The 18,312-nt window shown below is 36.6% G+C and overlaps 1 protein-coding gene across 18 annotated transcripts in view, besides 2 other annotated features; it reads right to left on the bottom strand.

The window, feature by feature from the left end:
- The window catches only part of FAAH2 (fatty acid amide hydrolase 2), a 367,606-nt gene that overhangs the window by 107,752 nt on the left and 241,542 nt on the right, over positions 1-18,312 (bottom strand). For all 18 annotated transcript variants that reach the window (NR_148564.2, NR_148557.2, XM_011530767.4 and 15 more), the window contains 2 exons: positions 2,659-2,794; positions 416-533 (listed from right to left, as the gene is read on the bottom strand). Coding sequence is in view for 16 of the 18 variants with exons in the window: in XM_011530767.4 (XP_011529069.1) it covers positions 416-533; positions 2,659-2,794 (254 nt within the window). In the remaining 2 variants the exon portion in view is untranslated. The remainder of the gene's footprint in view (positions 1-415; positions 534-2,658; positions 2,795-18,312) is intronic.
- Positions 14,322-14,821: an enhancer, noted in NCBI's record as "H3K4me1 hESC enhancer chrX:57393057-57393556 (GRCh37/hg19 assembly coordinates)". NCBI's record gives its function as "activates a minimal SCP1, AML or CMV promoter by ChIP-STARR-seq in naive H9 embryonic stem cells {active_cell/tissue: H9 hESC(naive)}" and the evidence as "EXISTENCE:reporter gene assay evidence [ECO:0000049][PMID:30033119]".
- Positions 14,822-15,323: an enhancer, noted in NCBI's record as "H3K4me1 hESC enhancer chrX:57392555-57393056 (GRCh37/hg19 assembly coordinates)". NCBI's record gives its function as "activates a minimal SCP1, AML or CMV promoter by ChIP-STARR-seq in naive H9 embryonic stem cells {active_cell/tissue: H9 hESC(naive)}" and the evidence as "EXISTENCE:reporter gene assay evidence [ECO:0000049][PMID:30033119]".

Raw genomic sequence — 18,312 nt, 5'->3', positions numbered from 1 at the left:
AAAGACAAATTTGTGCTATTATTTCATCTGATTATAAAAGTATTTTAAAATAAAGCTCAGGCTAAAATGATTGCATATATAATGTTGTCTCTATTACCTAAAATTTACATCTACACATTAGCATAGGAGAATCACTGGATAGATACATACCAAATTATTAATGACAGTTACCTCTGAGCAATTTATTTATTTGATTTATCATACTTTATTTTCAAAGTACTCATTTCATTACTAAAAAATAAAATATCTAAAATAACCATGAAAAATTACATCCAAAATTCCTTAGTATAACTGTTCTGAAAACCTTAATTCCGTATGCTGACACAGAAATATTTGGCAGTAAGTGAAGTAAAGGGCTCAGAAGGATATCTCTTTGACTAAAAATAATTCCTAAACAAATTTTATTTAAAATTACCTTTTTCTGAGTCATAATGAGATCTTGGTCCACTTTGGACATTAAAAATGAGCCTCCATCATGTTCCATCCAGTAAAATTTTAAGTCTTTTAAATGTACCTTTGTGTCTAGTTTTAACCTGTGTAGGATTAAAAAGAAACTGACATCAACAAATTATTTAGATATCCTTAATAGTTCAATCCTGACATCTGAGCTTCAGCTCTAATGAAGTATTTTTTTCCCTGAGCACTGTGTGCCAGAAACAGTATTATACCTTTAGAATTTAGATTTGCATTTAAAAAATGTACTTGAGCTGCAAGGGAGAGAATGGTTTGAAATGCATCAAAATTGTAGACGTGGTGACAAGTCAAAATGTTTTGGTGGTAGTTCATGCTAGAAATGATTATAGCCTGAACTAGAACTGTAACCATGGTAAGGGAGAGATATGTAAAGATGTAAGAAATCATTAGTAGGTAATTTCAATATGACTCAGCATTGCTTAGATGTAATGACTGAGAAAAATCGGAAATGAGGCTTTAGCAACTGGGTTGATTTTGGTCATCCAGTCACTGGGATTGGGTAAGAATCAAAGTAGTGGATCAGGTTTCTGGAGCTTGAAAGAAAAATAATATCAGTTTTAGATATATTGAGTCTCAGTTATCTGAAATGGCCAGTCTTCCTGTAGTAGTAAATAGACAGTCCTCTAGCTTAAGTGAAAAAAGTGAGCTGAAGAGGCAGATTTTGGCATCATCTGTGTATGGAAAATGGTTGAAGTGGCAAGGGTAGATGGAGTCATTCTGAGAGGGTAAGTAGAAAGAATAGAGATAAGTAAACCAGGTCCTTCTAGAATACCAATATATAAGAGATGAACAAAGGAAGAAGAGCCAGTAAGGCAGATGAAAGGAAAAGGAGCAATATCAAAAGGGTGGATTGTCCATAACATAAAGGATAAATGCTTAAGGGGATGGATACCTACCCCATTTTCCATGAAGCGATTATTATGCATTACATGACTGCTTCAAAATATCTCATGTAGCCCAAAAATATATACACCTGTTAGGTACCCACAAAAATTAAAAATAATTTTAAAAATGATTGAATCACAAGAGCCAAGGGCAGAGTTTGTTTCAATAATGATGGAGTAATATCAATATTGCCACCAGTTATAATGAGGTAATGAATGGTAAGTATTGAGAAGCAGTCATTATTTTTAGCAAAAATGCAAAAAAAAAAAAAATTCAGGGACTTTGGCAAGAATAATTTTGGTGGTAAAAACCACTTTGTAGTGAATTCATTTATGAGATGGCAATGTGAGAATTTAGAGTTAATGAGTATAAATAATTCACACAAAGGATCTGGCAATGGGGCAAAAAGCGGCATAGAGTAGTGGCTTAAGGGGAATAAGGGGCTAAAAAAATGTTGTCTCTTTTTAAGATGAGAGACACTTAGGATGCTTAATAATAATGAGAAGGGTGCGCACACGTGTGTGTGTGTGTGTGTGTGTGAGAGAGAGAGAGAGCGAGAGAGACAGAGAGAGAGAGGTTAAAGTCATACTAAGATGAGATAAGTAATGGAACAAAGATCTGAGAGAATAAGAGAACATAAGATCAAGAGCATAACTGAAACTACTTATATGCTAAAGCAAAATGGAAAGATATTTTCTCCACTCTAAGAGGAGAAAGAATGAAAGCTGGAGACCTAGAAAAATGTGATGGTAAGAAACTGAAGTAAGTTACATATAGATTGCATTTTTTTATGAGATAAAATGTGGGATTATTTACTTGAGGGTAAAGGAAAGGAGAAGATCAGAGTTTCGCTGGAAATGGAAATAATTTGAAATGACTGCTACAGAAAATATATTAAAAAAGAGCTGTCTAGGGAACCAATTTCCAAGCAGCGTTGATGCCTAGGTGAGATTGGAAAGTATGTATATGGTGACAGATGTCAGAAGAATCAGAAAGGCTGAACTTAAAGTGAACGTAGTCCTTATGCACAAATTCACAAATGAAAAACAAAAAGATTCACTGTTTCCTTCCCAAAAATAAGGCCTCTCTTTGTATTTTCTCAGTAAAATACTTTTACATGGCATCTTTCCAATTTGTGAAGCATGGTATCCACTTATATAAGTATATAAAGGCTCTCTCATAAAAACCTGTAAAAATTATTTGCTTGAGGACTGAAAGTCTACCTCTATGACACTAATAAACAAAGAGAGAATGAATGTCAGGATAAGAGTCCAAGGAAATAAAAATAAATGAACATACCTTTTGATCCCAGGTCCTGCCATGACCTTCAACATGGGGGCCAGGTCTTCAGCATAACGGCACATAGGACCAGTGCACAGAAACAACTCCTGGGCTCCCACAGCCAAGGGAAACTGACCTTTGTTGGGAACCACACCTGAAAGGATAGACAGTCAGGTTAGCCGCCCAAAATAAGACATGATCCCTGCATGTTGTATTTCATTATGGTGTTTAATCTATCTTAAATACTTTTTCTCCTGGTTAAAACTTTTCAGGTCTTCTTATATCTCATTGCAGTAGTTTCACAATTTTACTAGCTCTCTTAAAAGCAGTGAATTTTTTTTCCTAATAGAGTCCAACGAAGAACTTCAATATAAAACAAGCAAAACCAGAGCTACTCTGATGGAAACAGGGTCCCTACTTATTAGGCTATTCTCTCTTTCTGGGGATGGTTCTAAGGGTCTGCAGAGCCTATATGGAAAAGGACTAGTTAGAATACAGATTTAAAAATCTACTGGCATAGAGGATAAAGTCAAAATTCCTTTAGCTTGTATACAAAGCTCTCTGCAACCTGATACCTAAACAGAAGCCATAACAAATTGTTTGCAATTTTCCGCAAAGAACAGGCTATTTTGATGCTCATTTATAACTTTGTTTATGCCATTTCCTCTGCTTATAATACATTTCACAATTAATATGCCAGATGGATAACCAGATTTCAAGACTTAAGTGAAACTATAAGGCCTTTCTTGATCACCTACAATCTCTCAGCCCAAAACTTTCTTAACCTGATAAGCAACTTTAGCAAAGTCTCAGGATACAAAATCAATGTGCAAAAATCACAAGCATTCCAATATACCAATAATAGATATCCAAATCATGAGTGAGCGCTCATTCACAATTGCTAAAAAGAAAATAAAATATCTACGAATACAACTTACACGGGATGTGAAGGACCTCTTCAAGGAGAAGTACAAACCACTGCTCAAGGAAATAAGAGAGGACACAAACAAGTGGAAAAACATTTCATGCTCATGGATAGCAAGAATCAATACTGTAAAAATGGCCATACTACCCAAAGTAATTTATAGATTCAATACTATCCGTATCAAGCTACCATTGACTTTCTTCACAGAATTAGAAAAAACTACTTTAAATTTCATGTGGAACAAAATGAGCCCATTTAGCCAAGACAATCCAAAGCAAAAAGAACAAAGGTGGAGACATCATGCTACCTGGCTTCAAACAATATTACAAGGCTACAGTAACCAAAACAGCATGGTACTGGTACCAAGACAGAGATATAGACCAAAGGAACAGAACAGATCCCTCAGATATAATGCCACACATCTACTACAATCTAGTCTTTGACAAACCTGACAAAAACAAGAAATGGAAAAAGGATTCCCTATTTAATAAATGGTGCTGGGAAAACTGGCTAGCCATATGTGGAAAACTGAAACTGGATCACTTCCTACACCTTATACAAAAATTAACTCAACATGGATTAAAGACTTAAATGTAAGACCTAAAACCATAAAAATCCTGGAAGAAAACCTGGGCAATACCATTCAGGACATAGGCATGGGCAAAGACTTCATGACTAAAACACCAAAAGCAATGGCAACAGAAGCTAAAATTGACAAATGGGATCTAATTAAAGAGCTTCTGCACAGCAAAAGAAACTATCATCAGATTGAGCAGGCAACCTACAGAATAGGAGAACATTTTTGCAATCTATCCATCTGACAAAGATCTAATATCCAGAATCTACAAGAAACTTAAACAAATTTACAAGAAAACAAAAACATCAAAAAGTGGGTGAAGGATATGAACAGGCACTTTTCAAAAGAAGACATTTATGCAGCCAACAAACATATGCAAAAAAAAGCTCATCATCACTGGTCATTAGAGAAATGCAAATCAAAACCACAATGAGATACCATCTCACACCAGTTAGAATGGCGATCATTAAAAAGTCAGGATACAATAGATGCTGGAGAGAATGTGGAGAAATAAAAACGCTTTTTACATTGTTGGTTGGAGTGTAAATTAGTTCAACCATTGCAGAAGACAGTGTGGTGATTCCTCAACGATCTAGAACCAGAAATACCATTTGACCCAGCAATCCCATTACTGGTTTTATACCCAAAGAATTATAACGCATTCTACTATAAAGACACATGCACATGTATGTTAACTGCAGCACTATTCACAATAGCAAAGACTTAGAACTGACCCAAATGCCCATCAATGACAGACTGGATAAAGAAAATGTGACCATCATTCTCAGCGAGCTATCACAAGAAGAGAAAACCAAACACCACATGTTCTCACTCATAAGTGGGAGTTGAACAATGAGAACATATGGGCACAGGGAGTGGAATATCACACACTGGGGGCCTGTCAGAGGGTGAAGGGCTAGGGGAGGGATAGCATTAGGAGAAATACCTAAGGTAGGTGACTGGTTGATGGGTGCAACAAACCACCATGGCACGTATACACCTATGTAACAAACCTGCATGTTCTGCACATATTTAAAAGATTATTTGTGGAGAAGATTAATAATATCGATGAACACGTAACAAGACTTATCAAGAAAAAGGGAGAAAAAAACAAAAATGATCAGTATCATGAATGAAAAAGGGATACTATTACAGATTGTATAGATATAGTACAGCCTGTAGTTATACTACAGTTATAGTAGATATAGACACAAGGATTAAGATAATGAAACAGAATAATATCCAGCCCACTTGCTCTTGTTGCTGTTACCTGATTTAAAACAAAGATGGCACTGCAATGCAGTGGGGAAAGTATAATCTTTACCACAAAAACTTTTGACATAACTCAATATATATATAGAAAAATAGTAACTTTCAATCTTAATTCATACAATACACAAAAACCTGTTTCTAATGGATTAAAAACCTAAGTGTCAAAGGAAAATGAATAAAGCATCTTTAAAAAATAATAGAATATCTTTATGGCTTTGGATGGGCAAATATTTCTTAAATAGGACAATCAAAGCATTAACCAATGATAAAACAAACTACCCAATTAAAAAAGGGCCAAATATTTTATCAAGGCTTTCTGCAAACAGAAATCCAAATGGCCAATAGATATATAAAAAGATAATAATTCTTCCAAACCATTGTCTATGATATTACAACAAGTTGCAAGATTAACCAAGAAAAGGAGAGAGAAAAGAAGCTCAATTAGAAATGAAACAGGAGACATTACAACCAAACCAGAGAAAGACAAAAGATCACACAAGGCTAGTATGAACACCTTTACTAGCATAAACTAGAAAACATAGAGGAGATGGAAAAGTTCCTGGAAATATACAACTCTCCCAGCTTAAATGAGGAAGAATTAGAAATTCTAAACAGACCAATAACAAGGAGAGAGATTGAAATAGTAATAAAAAATTTACAAAAAAAAAAAAAAAAAAGTGCAGTACCAGATGGATTCACAGCTGAATTCTACCAGACATTCAAAGAATTGGTACCAATCCTATTGATGCTATTCCACAAGATAGAGAAAGAAGGAATCCTCTCTAAATCATTCTGTGAAGCCAGTATCACCTAATACTAAAACCAGAAAGGACATAACATCAACAAAAAAACAACTACAGACCAATATCCCTGATGGACATGGATGCAAAAATCCACAAATAAATACTAGATAACTGAATCCAACATCATATCAAAAACATAATCTACCATGATCAAGTGAGTTTCATACCAGGATGCAGGGATCATTTAATAGAAACAGGTTAATGACTTGTGTCATTAAATGGAATACACCACATAAACAGAATTAAAAACAAAAATCGCATGATCTTCTTGATAGACGCAGAAAAGCATCTGACAAAATTCAGCATCCATTCATGATTAAAACCCTCAGCAAAATCGGCATACAAGGGACATACCTCAGTGTAATAAATGCCATCTATGGGAAACCCACAGCCAACATAATACTGAACGGGGAAAAGTAGAAAGCATTCCCTCTGAAAACTGGAACAAGACAAGGATGCCCACTCTCACCACCTCTATTCAACACAGTACTGGAAGTCCTAGCAACGGCAATCAGACAAAAGGTGGAAATAAAGGGCATCCAAATCGGTAAAGAGGAAGTCAAATTGTCACTGTTTGCTGAAGATATGATTGTATACCTAGAAAACCCTAAAAACTCCTGCAAAAAGCTCCTAGAACTGACAAATGAGTTCAGCAAAGTTTCAGGATACGAAATTAATGTACACAAATCAGCAGCTCTGCTATACAATAGCGACCAAGCTGAGAATCAAATCAAGAACTCAACCCCTTTTACAATAGCTGCAAAATAAATAAAATACTTAGGAATATACCTAACCCGGGAGGTGAAAGATCTCTACAAGGAAAACTACAAAATACTGCTGAAAGAAATCATAGATGAAACAAACAAATGGAAACACGTCCCATCCTGATAGATGGATAGAATCAATATTGTGAAAATACCATACTGCCAAAAGCAACCTACAAATACAATGCAATCCCCATTAAAATACCATGATCATTCTTCACAGAACTAGAAAAATTCCCAAAATTCATATGGGACCCAAAAAGTATCTGCATAGCCAAAGCAAAGCTAAGCAAAAAGCATAAACCTGGAGGCAACACATTACCTAATTTCAAACTATACTATAAGGCCATAGTCACCAAAACAACATGATACTGCTGTAAAAATGGGCACATATACCAACGGAACAGAATAGAGAACCCACAAATCCAAATATTTACAGCCAACAGATCTTTGACAAAGCAAACAAAAACCTAAAGTGGGAAAAGGACACCCTATTCAACAAATAAAGCTGGGATAATTGGCTAACCACATCTAGGATAATGAAACTGGATCCTCATCTCTCACCTTACACAAAAATCAACTCAAGATGGATCAGATACCTAAATCTAAGACCTGAAACTATGAAAATTCTAGAAAATAATATCGAAAGACCCTTTTAGACATTGGCTGAAGCAATGATTTCATAACCAATAACCCAAAAGCAAATGCAATAAAAACAAAGATAAAGAGGTGAGACTTAATTAAACTAAAGAGCTTTTGCATGGCAAAAGAAACAGCAGAGTAAACAGACAACCCACAGAGCAGGAGAAAATCTCCACAGTCTATACATCTGCCAAAGGACTAATATCCAAAATCTAGAAAGAACTCAAACAAATTAGCGAGAAGAAAACAATGCCATCAAAAATGGGGTAAGGACATGAATAGACAATTCTCAAAAGCAGATATACAAATGGCCAACAAACATATGAAAAAAATGCTCAATTTCACTAATAATCAGGGAAATGCAAATCAAAACCACAATACAATACCACCTTACTCCTGCAAGAATGGCCATAATCAAATAAAAAAAAAAAAGATGTTGGCATGGATGCATTGAAAAAGAAACACTTCTACATTGCTGATGGGAGTGTAAACTAGTACAGCCACTATGGAAAACAGTGTAGAGATTCCTTAAAGACCTAAAAGTAGATTTACCATTTGATCCAGCAACCCCACTCCTTGGTAACTACCCAGATGAAAAGAAGTTATTATAAGAAAGAGATACTTGCACACACGTTTATAGCAGCACAGTTTGCAATTGCAAAAATATGGAACCAGCCCAAATCCCCATCAGTCAATGAATAGGTAAAGAAAATATGATATACCATGATATACCTTGGAATACTACTACTCAGCCATAAAGAGGAATGAAATATTGGCATTTGCAGCAACCTGGATGGAATTAGAGACCATTATTCTAAGTGAAGTAACTCAGGAATGAAAAACCAAACATTGTAGGTTTTCACTCATACGTGGAAGCTAAGCTATGAGGATGTAAAGGCATAAGAATGATATAATGGACTCTCGGGACTCGAGGGAAAGGGTGAGAGGAGGGTGAGGGATAAAAATCTATATACTGGGTACAGTGTATACTGCTCGGGTGATGGGTGCACCAAAATCTCAGAAATCACCACTAAAAAACTTATTTATGTAACCAAACACCACCTGTTCCCCAAAAACCTATTGTAATAAAAAATAATTAAAAAAATTAAAAGTGGCTAACACAGTAAGTTTTATGGCGAGTATATTTTATCACAATAAAACTAATTAATTAGTTAAAAATTCTACTACTACTTTTGTTTAGGAAGAGAAGTAATCATTAAACAAGAAATGTCACCACTAATAAAAGAATTTTTCAAATGACCTGGAATATAAAAATAAAGATATTCAATTGGATAACTTGGAAAAAACAAGCAATAAACAAATAACCCCATGAAAAAGTGAACAAGACACATGAACAGATGCTTCTCAGAAGAAGATATAGAAGTATCCAACTAACACACAAAAACAATGCTCATCATCACTGTAATTATTGGAGAAACAAAAATTAAAACCACCAAGAAATACCATCTCACACCAGTCAGAATGGCTATTATTAAAAAGTTAAAAAAATTACAGATGCTGGCAGGACTGCAGAGAAAAGAGAATGCTTATACATATTTGGTGGGAATGTCAGTTGGTTCAGTTCTTTGGAAGGCAGTTTGGTGATTACTCAAATAACTAAAAAATAGAACTACTATTCCACCTATCAATACTATTACTGGGTATATACCCAATGGAATATAAATCATTCTACCAAGAAGATACATGGATCTGTATGTTCATCACAGCACTATTCACAATAAAAAAGACATAGATTCAAAATAGATATCCATCAACTGTGGATTGTATAAAAAAAGTGATACATATACACAATGGAATATTATGCAGCCAAAAAAAGAAGAAAATCATGACCTTTGCAGCAACATTAATGCAGCCTGAGGCCATTATTCTAAGTGGATTAATGCAGAAATTAAAAAACCAAAGACCGCATCTTCTTACTTATAAGTGTAAATTAAACATTGGGTAAACATTGACATAATGATAGGAACAGTAGACACTGGGGGCTACAAGGTGAGGATAAAAGGGAAAGTGTTAATGGTGAAAACCTATCAGATACTATGCTCACTACCTGGGTAACAGGTTCAATCATACCTCAAACCTCAGCATCATGTAATATACCTTTTTAGAAACCTTGCACATGTATCCCCTGTTTCTGAAGTAAAAGTTGAAAGTAACCCCCCCCCCAAAAAATAGAACTGTGATCCAACCCAATCATCCCATCACTGGGTATATATTGAAAGCCAAATATTGTTCTACCTAAAAGACACATGCACCTGCACGTCTACAGCAGCACTATTCATAATAGGAAAGACATGGAATCAAACTAGGTGCCCATCAATGGTGGATTGGATAAAGAAAATGTGGTATCACAGAGTACTATGCAGCCCATAGAAAAGAATGAATTCATTTGCAGAAGCATGGATGGAGCTGGAGGCCAATATCCTAAGCAAACTAACACAGACAGAAAACCAAATACCGCATGTTCTCACTTACAAGTGGGAGCTAAACATTGTGTACACATGGACATAGAGTTTAGAAAAATAGACACAGGAGACTATAAGCTTGGGGAGAGTTTGAAGGGGGCAAGGGTCAAAAAGGTACCTATTGGGAGCTATGCTCACTAGCTGGGTGACAGGTTCAATTATATGACAAACATGCAGTAGACCTTTGCAAGAAACCTGCATATGTACTCCCTCAATCTAAAATAAAAGTTGAAAATAAAGTAAAATAAAAAACCAACAAATTTTTGATACTTATTTGTGGCCAAACATATGATGTATCCTGGAGTAACTTCCACATGCTGTTGACAAGAATGTGTATTCTGCAGCTGTTGGGTGGAATGTTCTGTAAATGTCTATTAGTACCATTTGGTCTAGAGCAGTGATCCCCAAACTTTTTGGCACCAGGAAGTGGTTTCATGGGAGACAATTTTTACATGCACTGTGAGGTGAGATGGTTTTGAGATGAAGCTGTTCCACCTTAGATCATCAGGCATTAGAGTCTCATAAGAAGCACACAACCTAGATCCCCTGCATACTCAGTTCACAAAAGGGTTCATGCTCCTATGAGAATCTAATGCTGCTGCTGATCTAACAGAAGGCAAAACTTATGTGGTAATGCTTACTCACCTACTACTCACCTTCTGCTGTGCAGCCAGTTTCTAACAGGCGATGGACTGGTACTGGTCCATGGCCTGGGGGTTGGGGACCCCTGGTCTAGAGTATAGTTTATATCTGAGTTTTCATTAATTTTGTGCCTAGATAATCATTTCATTGCTGAAAGTGAATGAAGTCCCCAACTGTTATTATATGGCAGGCTACCTCTCCATTTATATCTAATATTTGCCTTATATATTTGTGTGCTCCAGTGTTGGGTGCCTATATATTAACAATTGTTATATCCTTTTGCTGAATCAACTTTTGTCATTATATAATGATCTTCTTAGTCTCTTTTTCCAGTAACAACTGGAACTGGAAAAACAGGTAATATGCGTCTCTCATGGGCAGCATACAGCTGGGTTATGTTTTTCTTATCTGGGTTATATTTTTTTATCTATTCATCCACTTTATATGTTTCAATTGTAGAATTTGATTCATTTACATTTAAGGTTATTATTGGTTACTAAGGACTAGCTTCGGCCATTTTGTTAAATATTTTGTATCCTTTGTTCCTTTCTTCACCTCTCATTTTTTTACGTTTGTCATTTGGGGGTTTTCCATAGTAATAAGCTTTGTATTCCTTCCCCTTTCTTATATGTTTATGTGCTGTAATTTGCTGTTAGTGGCTACTATAGGGCTTACATGAAAAGCTTACAGTTACAATAAATAATTTTAAGTTGATAATAAGTTTGGTCACATACATTCTAGATTTCTTAAAATTCATAACTTTGTATCTCCATTTGCATGTTTTAATATTTTGTGTCCACTTACAACTTGTTGTAGCTATAGGTATTATTTACCATTGTGATTTTAACCTTCATAGAGATTTGAAAAATTATATTACTTTATAATAATGGAGTGTTCTGAATTTCACAACAAATTTACCTTTATTAGTTATAGTTTCATATGATTTCCTCTTAGTAACTATATGTTTACTTCCAGCTGAATCACTCCCTTAAGCATTTAATGTAAAGATAATTGATGGTGAGTTTCCTCAACTTTTGTTTGTCAGGTAAAGACTTTATTTCTCTTTCATTTTGGAAGAATAGTTTTGTTGGGTATGGCATTTTTACCTCAATTTATTCCCCAGCACTTTGATATACCATCCCATTCTCCTTAGGCCTGCAAGGTTTCAGCTGATAAATCTGCTGTCAGTCAGATGGAGATCCTTTTATATGTGACTTGACAATTTTCTGATGTTTCTTTTATAATTCTTTAGGTCTTAACAGTGTGATTATAACAGGCCTCAGAGATGACCTCTTTGGGTTGAATCTGGAGTCCTTTGAGCTTCATGGATCTGGATATCCACATCTCTTCCAAAATTTGGGAAATTTTCAGCTACTATTTTGTTAAATAAGCTTCCTGTGCTTTTCTCCATCTCTTCTACTGAAATCTCTAGAATGCAGAAGTTTGTTTGATTAATGATGTACCACCTATTTCATTTGCTCTTTTACATTATTTGCTCTTTTACATTATTTTATTTTTATTCCTTTTGACTGGACTGTTTCAAAACACATTCCTCAAGTTTAAAAATTCTTTCTTCTGCTGGATCTAGTATACTGCTAAAGCTCTCAGTCTTATTTATTTCGTTGGTTGAATTCTTCAGCTCCACAATTTATGTTTGTTTCTTTTCCATTATATGTATCTCTTTGATCAATTTCTCATTCATACTATGAATTGTTTTTCTGATTTTGTTGCAGTGTGTGTCTGTGTACTCTTGTATATTTCTGAGTTTTCTTGAGTCATTATTTTGAATTACTTTTTAAAAAAAATTAGAAATTTCCATTTTGGGGGGTCAGTTACCACAAAATTATTGTGTTTCATTGGTAATGTCATATTTCCTTGACTTTTCATGTGTCTTGTGTCCCTATATTAATACCCATGCATAAGGTGGAATGGTTATCTTTTCCAATATTATCAAGTGTCTTTCATGTGGAGATACTTTTACCTGCTGATGTTTCCTAGGGCTTGATTGGGTAGAGCATGCTGGCTTTGATTCCAGTGAGTGCAATAGCATAGTCTCTATGCAGTTCCTTCAGCTGTAGTCAACACCAGCAATGCCTTTGTGAGCATCAGTGTCTCTGGTGCTGCTCCACTGTGGGTGGGACATAAGCTGCTCCACATGCAGAGGGAGTTCACGATTTATGCATTCATATGTGTGTTGTTCCATGGGGTATGCCACCAAGCTCTTTTGTGTGCCAAGAGAGCATACAGCTGGTCCTCTGCTTGTCTGCTGTTCCCCTTGGGGCAGGACACCAGGCTGGTTCTCACATCAAGAGAGTGCTGAGCTTGCCCACAAGCTTGTGCACTGCTCCCACATAGGCAAAGCACCAGCCTAGTTTGTCCACTGAGGGTGCATGCAGGGGCCTAGCTCTTTGTACTCAGCTTCTGTGCTGTGCACAGCACTAACTATTCTCTGGGTTTGGGGGTGGGGGTGGGTTCAGTGTGCCTTGTGTATTTGGCTGCTAGATTTGCAGCTGTTTTGCTGGAGCCAGGCTTGGAGTAACCAGGGTTGGGGTATGGTAGACACTGGAATGGGGTAGATGGAAGACCTCCTAGGCAGCTTGTTCCAAAGGGGAGTGACCCATAATAGTTTGGCTGAGTAATGGTGTACTACTAGGTATGAGCATGGTGTAATGATGGCAAAACCTCAGGGATGGAGGCATGAAGTGGTTATTGCCCTCATGAGCAAGACACAATATAGCAGTGGCTCCAGTTATAAGATAGCACTGTGCAGCAGCAGCTTAGGTCAAATAAGAACGGGGGCAAATGTGGGCTCTTTCTTTAACAATGCAGCTGTGTGAAATCCTGGCAGCTTTCCAAACTTGGCTCAGCATCTGTGAGAACTGCAGGATTCTTCAGCAGGAAGGACTGCAGACATCCATGATCTTAAGAGGGGCTGTTAGAAACCTCCTTCTTACTTTCTGGTGCAGAGGGAAGTCCCCCTTAGTTCTGAGTGAATCCCATTTGAGGAGATAAAGTAACAGCAGCAGAATACTTTGCTTCCTTGTCTATGAAGCCATCCTGAGCCTGCATGTTCCACAGAGTCTCTGCTACTCCTTTGCTGTGCTCTAGCATTCTTTTTCAGATAATATAGTTAAAATGTAGTTGTTTATTCATTGTTTTTGCCCTTGTTTTATGAGAGGGAAAAGTATGAAGAGCTTCTAAATGGTCTTGCTGATATCAATCCTTTTTTACATTTTTTGTAACTTTTGTTTTTATTTATATTTTTACTAACAGTGTGTAGCAGTAAAGAATACAATGACTAGCAGTGCAATTTAGTGTCATTGCCTTGTTCATGCTAAGGTGCAGCCACTTTGGATAACATTGCTTTTGAAACATGACTACAAATGTCAACATAATGAAAAAGGCCAATTATATCTTAGCATTATTATAAAATAATTTCGACTTCATGGACCCTCTGACAGATCCTAAGTTAACCTTAGATGCTGACATTTTGTGCTTTCCTTTATAATAATCAACATCTTATCTGAATACGTTATCACTTATATATGCTGTGCATGATATATTTCAATGTTTAAAAAGCAATGCAAGGTTATTTCGTATGAGTTTATACAATACAGAGATAAATATAGGAAAAGACATTTGACACACAACCACCACGTACACCTGAGCTAGCAAGGAGAACTGCCTGGAGAGTTGGCAGAGACAGAACTCCAGCCTGTATGGAGTCCAGAGGTTTTGTGTAGAAATGACTGCAGTGGAGCATAGCCATGGCTGCCAATTCCCCAAAGACTGCCATATTCCACCAGGCAGCTCTAGCCTTTGTTGGAACCGAAAAGAACATGGCTGTGTTGCCTGTGGGACAGGGCCAGTCTGATCTGAGCTCCCCCTTATCTGCTAACCTCTGCCAGGGTCCTGCCTAGCTACAGCCACTTGCAGTGCAGCCTCCACTGTTTACCAGCATCCACTGCCATCGATCCCTCAGTGGCAAGCCCTGCTTAACTGTTTGAGTGTTTTTGCAGACAGACTTCCAGCAGCACATGACCACCCACAGCCTTCCCTTGTGGGTGTATGCTTGCCCACAGTCTCCCCTCATCACCCTGCCAGCATGCACATGCGTATGGAAAACACACCACCCTGCAGGCATGAGCAAGCTTTGGGACCCCTGCTGCCCCACTGGCGTGCACCCATGTGGGGGATGACCACAAGCCCACTGGAGTACCTTTGCTAGCAGCGTCTGTTAGTGTTGTCACCAATGGGCTGGGAACACATTGGCCCCTCCAGGGCAACAGATATTTAACCCCCAAGGGGCAAAAGAACAAAGCTGTGGGCCAGGTCCCAGTTCACCAGGGATAGAGCATGTAGCCCAGGAGTGCTCAGCTGAGTCTTAGCCCCTGAAAGCATCTGAAAATGATGCCAATCAACTAAACCTAACTTATAACAGTCAAACCCTCAAGAACATCAAAGAAAGAAAAAAGCAAAAGCCTCATCCAAAAGGCAGCAACTCCAAAAACTAAAGGAACATCAGCCCACACAGATGGAAAAAAGAAAGAAAGAAAGAAAGAAATAGTGCAAGAACTCTGGCAACATTAGAAGTTAGAGTGTCTTCTTACCTCCAAACAAACTCACCAATGGTTCTTAAGCAGACTGTAATGGCTGAAATTACACACATAGAAATTAGAATCTGGACAGCAAGGAAGCTCATCAACATACAAGAGAAACTTGAAAAACATCCAAGGGACACAATAAAATAGTTCAAGAGTTGAAAGATAGCTGCCATTTTAAGAAAAAACAAACTGATCTGAAAATGAAAAATTCACTGCAGGAAATTCAGAGTGCAATTGGAAGCATTAATAACGTAACAGACCAAGCTGAGGAAAAAGTATCAGCACTCAGAAACTTCTCCTTTGATTCAACATAGGACGACAATGGTGAAGAATAGAGAAAAAATGAACAAAAGCTCTGAGAAATGCAGGATTCTATAAAAAGACAGAACCTCAGACTGAATGGCATTCCTGAAAGAGACAGAGAGAGCAAGCAATGTGGAAGAAATATTGGAGTATATTGTCCATAAAAACATCCCCAATGTTGCTAGAGAGATTGACATGCAAATATAGGAAACGCAGAGAACCCTTGCAAGATACTACACAAGACAACCATGCCAAAAGCACAGAGTCATCAGATTCTTCAAGGTCAATGTGAAAGAAAATATGTTAATGGCAGCTAGAGAGAAGGAGCATGTCACCTACAAATGGAACCCCATCAGGCTAATAGCAGAACTTTCAGCAGAAATCTTAGAAACCAGAAGAGAGTGGAGGCCTATAATCAGCATCCCTATACAAAAGAAATTCCAACCATGAATGTCATATTCTACCAAACTAACTTCATAAGTGAAAGAGAAATAAAATCTTTTTCAGACAAGCAAATGCTACAAAATTTGTTAACGTCAGACCAGCCTTTCAAGGGGTCCTTAAGTGAGTGCTAAATATGGAAATGAAAGACCAGTACCTGCAGCCACAAAAACATGCAGAAACAACCACACAGTAAAAGTGGAAGACATCAACATGCCATTGACAAGTTACACAGATAATCAAAGCAAAAAACAAACCAAGGTATTCTGGAATAAATCTTTATACTTGATCAATTGGACCTAATAGCTATCTACAGAATACTCCAACTAACAGTTTTTCTCATCTGTATATAGTATATATTCTAAGCTCAACCATATGCTCCACCATAAAACACATCCAAACTAATTTTAAAAAATATATAATAACAACTACACTCATAGACCACAGTGCAATAAAAATAGAAATCAATACCAAGACAATCCCTCAAAACCACATAATTACATGGAAATTAAGCAACATGCTCCTGAATGACTTTTTGGTTAAGATTGAAAGTAAAGCAGTAACCAAAAAAACTTTTTGAAATTAATGAAATCAGAGTCAATACATACCAGCATCTTGGGACACAGGGAAAACCTGTTAAGAGGGAAGTGGAGAGTGCTGAGCAACTACATCAAGAAATTAGAAAAATCTCAAATTAATACCCTAACATTACACCTGGTGGAACTAGACAAGCAAGAGAGACTCTAAAGTTACTATTTAAAAAGAAATAACTAAAATTAAGAGCTGAGCAAAATCTAGATAGCAAAATCCATACAAAAGATCAACAAAATCAAAAGTTGAATCATTGGAAGAATTGACAAGACCAAAACACTAGGGGATCTATTAGCAAAAAAAAAAAAAAAAAAGGAGAAGATCCAAATAAGCACAAGCAGAAGTGATGAAGATTATGTTGCATGTGACCACACAGAAACACAAAAAAATCTGTAGAGACTATTACAAACACCTCTCTGCACACAACCTAGAAAACACAGAAGAAATGAATACATTCCTGGAAACTCACAACCTCCCAAGATTGAACCAGAAAGAAACTGAAACCCTGAAAAGACCAATAATGCATTCCAAAATTAAATCAGTAATTTAAAAACTACCAAGAAAAAAGCCCTGCACCAAACGGATTCATAGCCAAATTCTGCCAGATGTACAAAGAAAATCTGATACCCATACTACTTAAATTATTCCAAAAAGTCAAGGAGGGAGTCTTCCCTAACTCATTCTGTGAAGCATGAATCATTCTGACACCTAAGCCCACCAATACAAAAAAAAAAAAAAAAAAAAAAAACCCTACAGGCCGACATCTATGATGAACATAGATGCAAAAATCCTCAACAACATACTAGCAAATGAAATCCTGAAGCATATAAAGAAGGTAATTAATGTCTTATTCCTGGGGTGCAGAGATTGCTCAACATATGCAAATCACTGAATGTGATTAACCACATAAACAGATTTCCTTTAAAAAATATATGACTATCTCAATGAATGCAGAAAAGGCTTTTGATAAAATTCATCATACCTCCAATGTTAAAAATCCTCTAAAAATTAGGCACCATAGAACATACCTCAAAATAATAAGAACCATCATTGAAAAACTAACAGCCAATGTTATCCTAAATTGACTAAAGCTGGAAGTGTTCCCCTTGAGAAGTGGAAAAAGACAAGGGTGCCCACCCTCATCACTCCTATTCAACATAGTGCTGGGAAGTCCTAGCCAGAGCAATCAGGCAAGAGTAAGAAAAAAAGGCATCCAAATAAAAGAAAGGAAGTCATTTTATTTCTCTTTACAGATTATATAGTCTTATACATAGAAAGTCCTAAACACTCTGCCAAAAGACTCCTAGAATTGATAAACTACTTAGAGTTTCAGGATACAAAATCAATGCACAAAAATCAGTAGTACTTTTATACACCAATAATGTTCATGCTGAGAGCCAAATGAAGAATGTAATATATTTATGATAGCCACAAAGATAATAAAATACTTAGGAATATAGCTAACCAGGGAGGTGAAAGTTTTCTAGTTTGAGAATTATAAAACTCTGCTAAAATAAATCAGAGATGACAAAAAAAGTAAAACATTCTATGCCTATGAATTTGAAGAATTAATATTGTTAAAATGGCCATACTTCCCAAAGCCATTTACAGATTCCTTGCTATCC

Source organism: Homo sapiens, chromosome X (assembly GCF_000001405.40).
Source record: "Homo sapiens chromosome X, GRCh38.p14 Primary Assembly".
NCBI lineage: Eukaryota > Metazoa > Chordata > Mammalia > Primates > Hominidae > Homo > Homo sapiens.
This window is presented reverse-complemented; position numbering and strand designations above follow the sequence as displayed.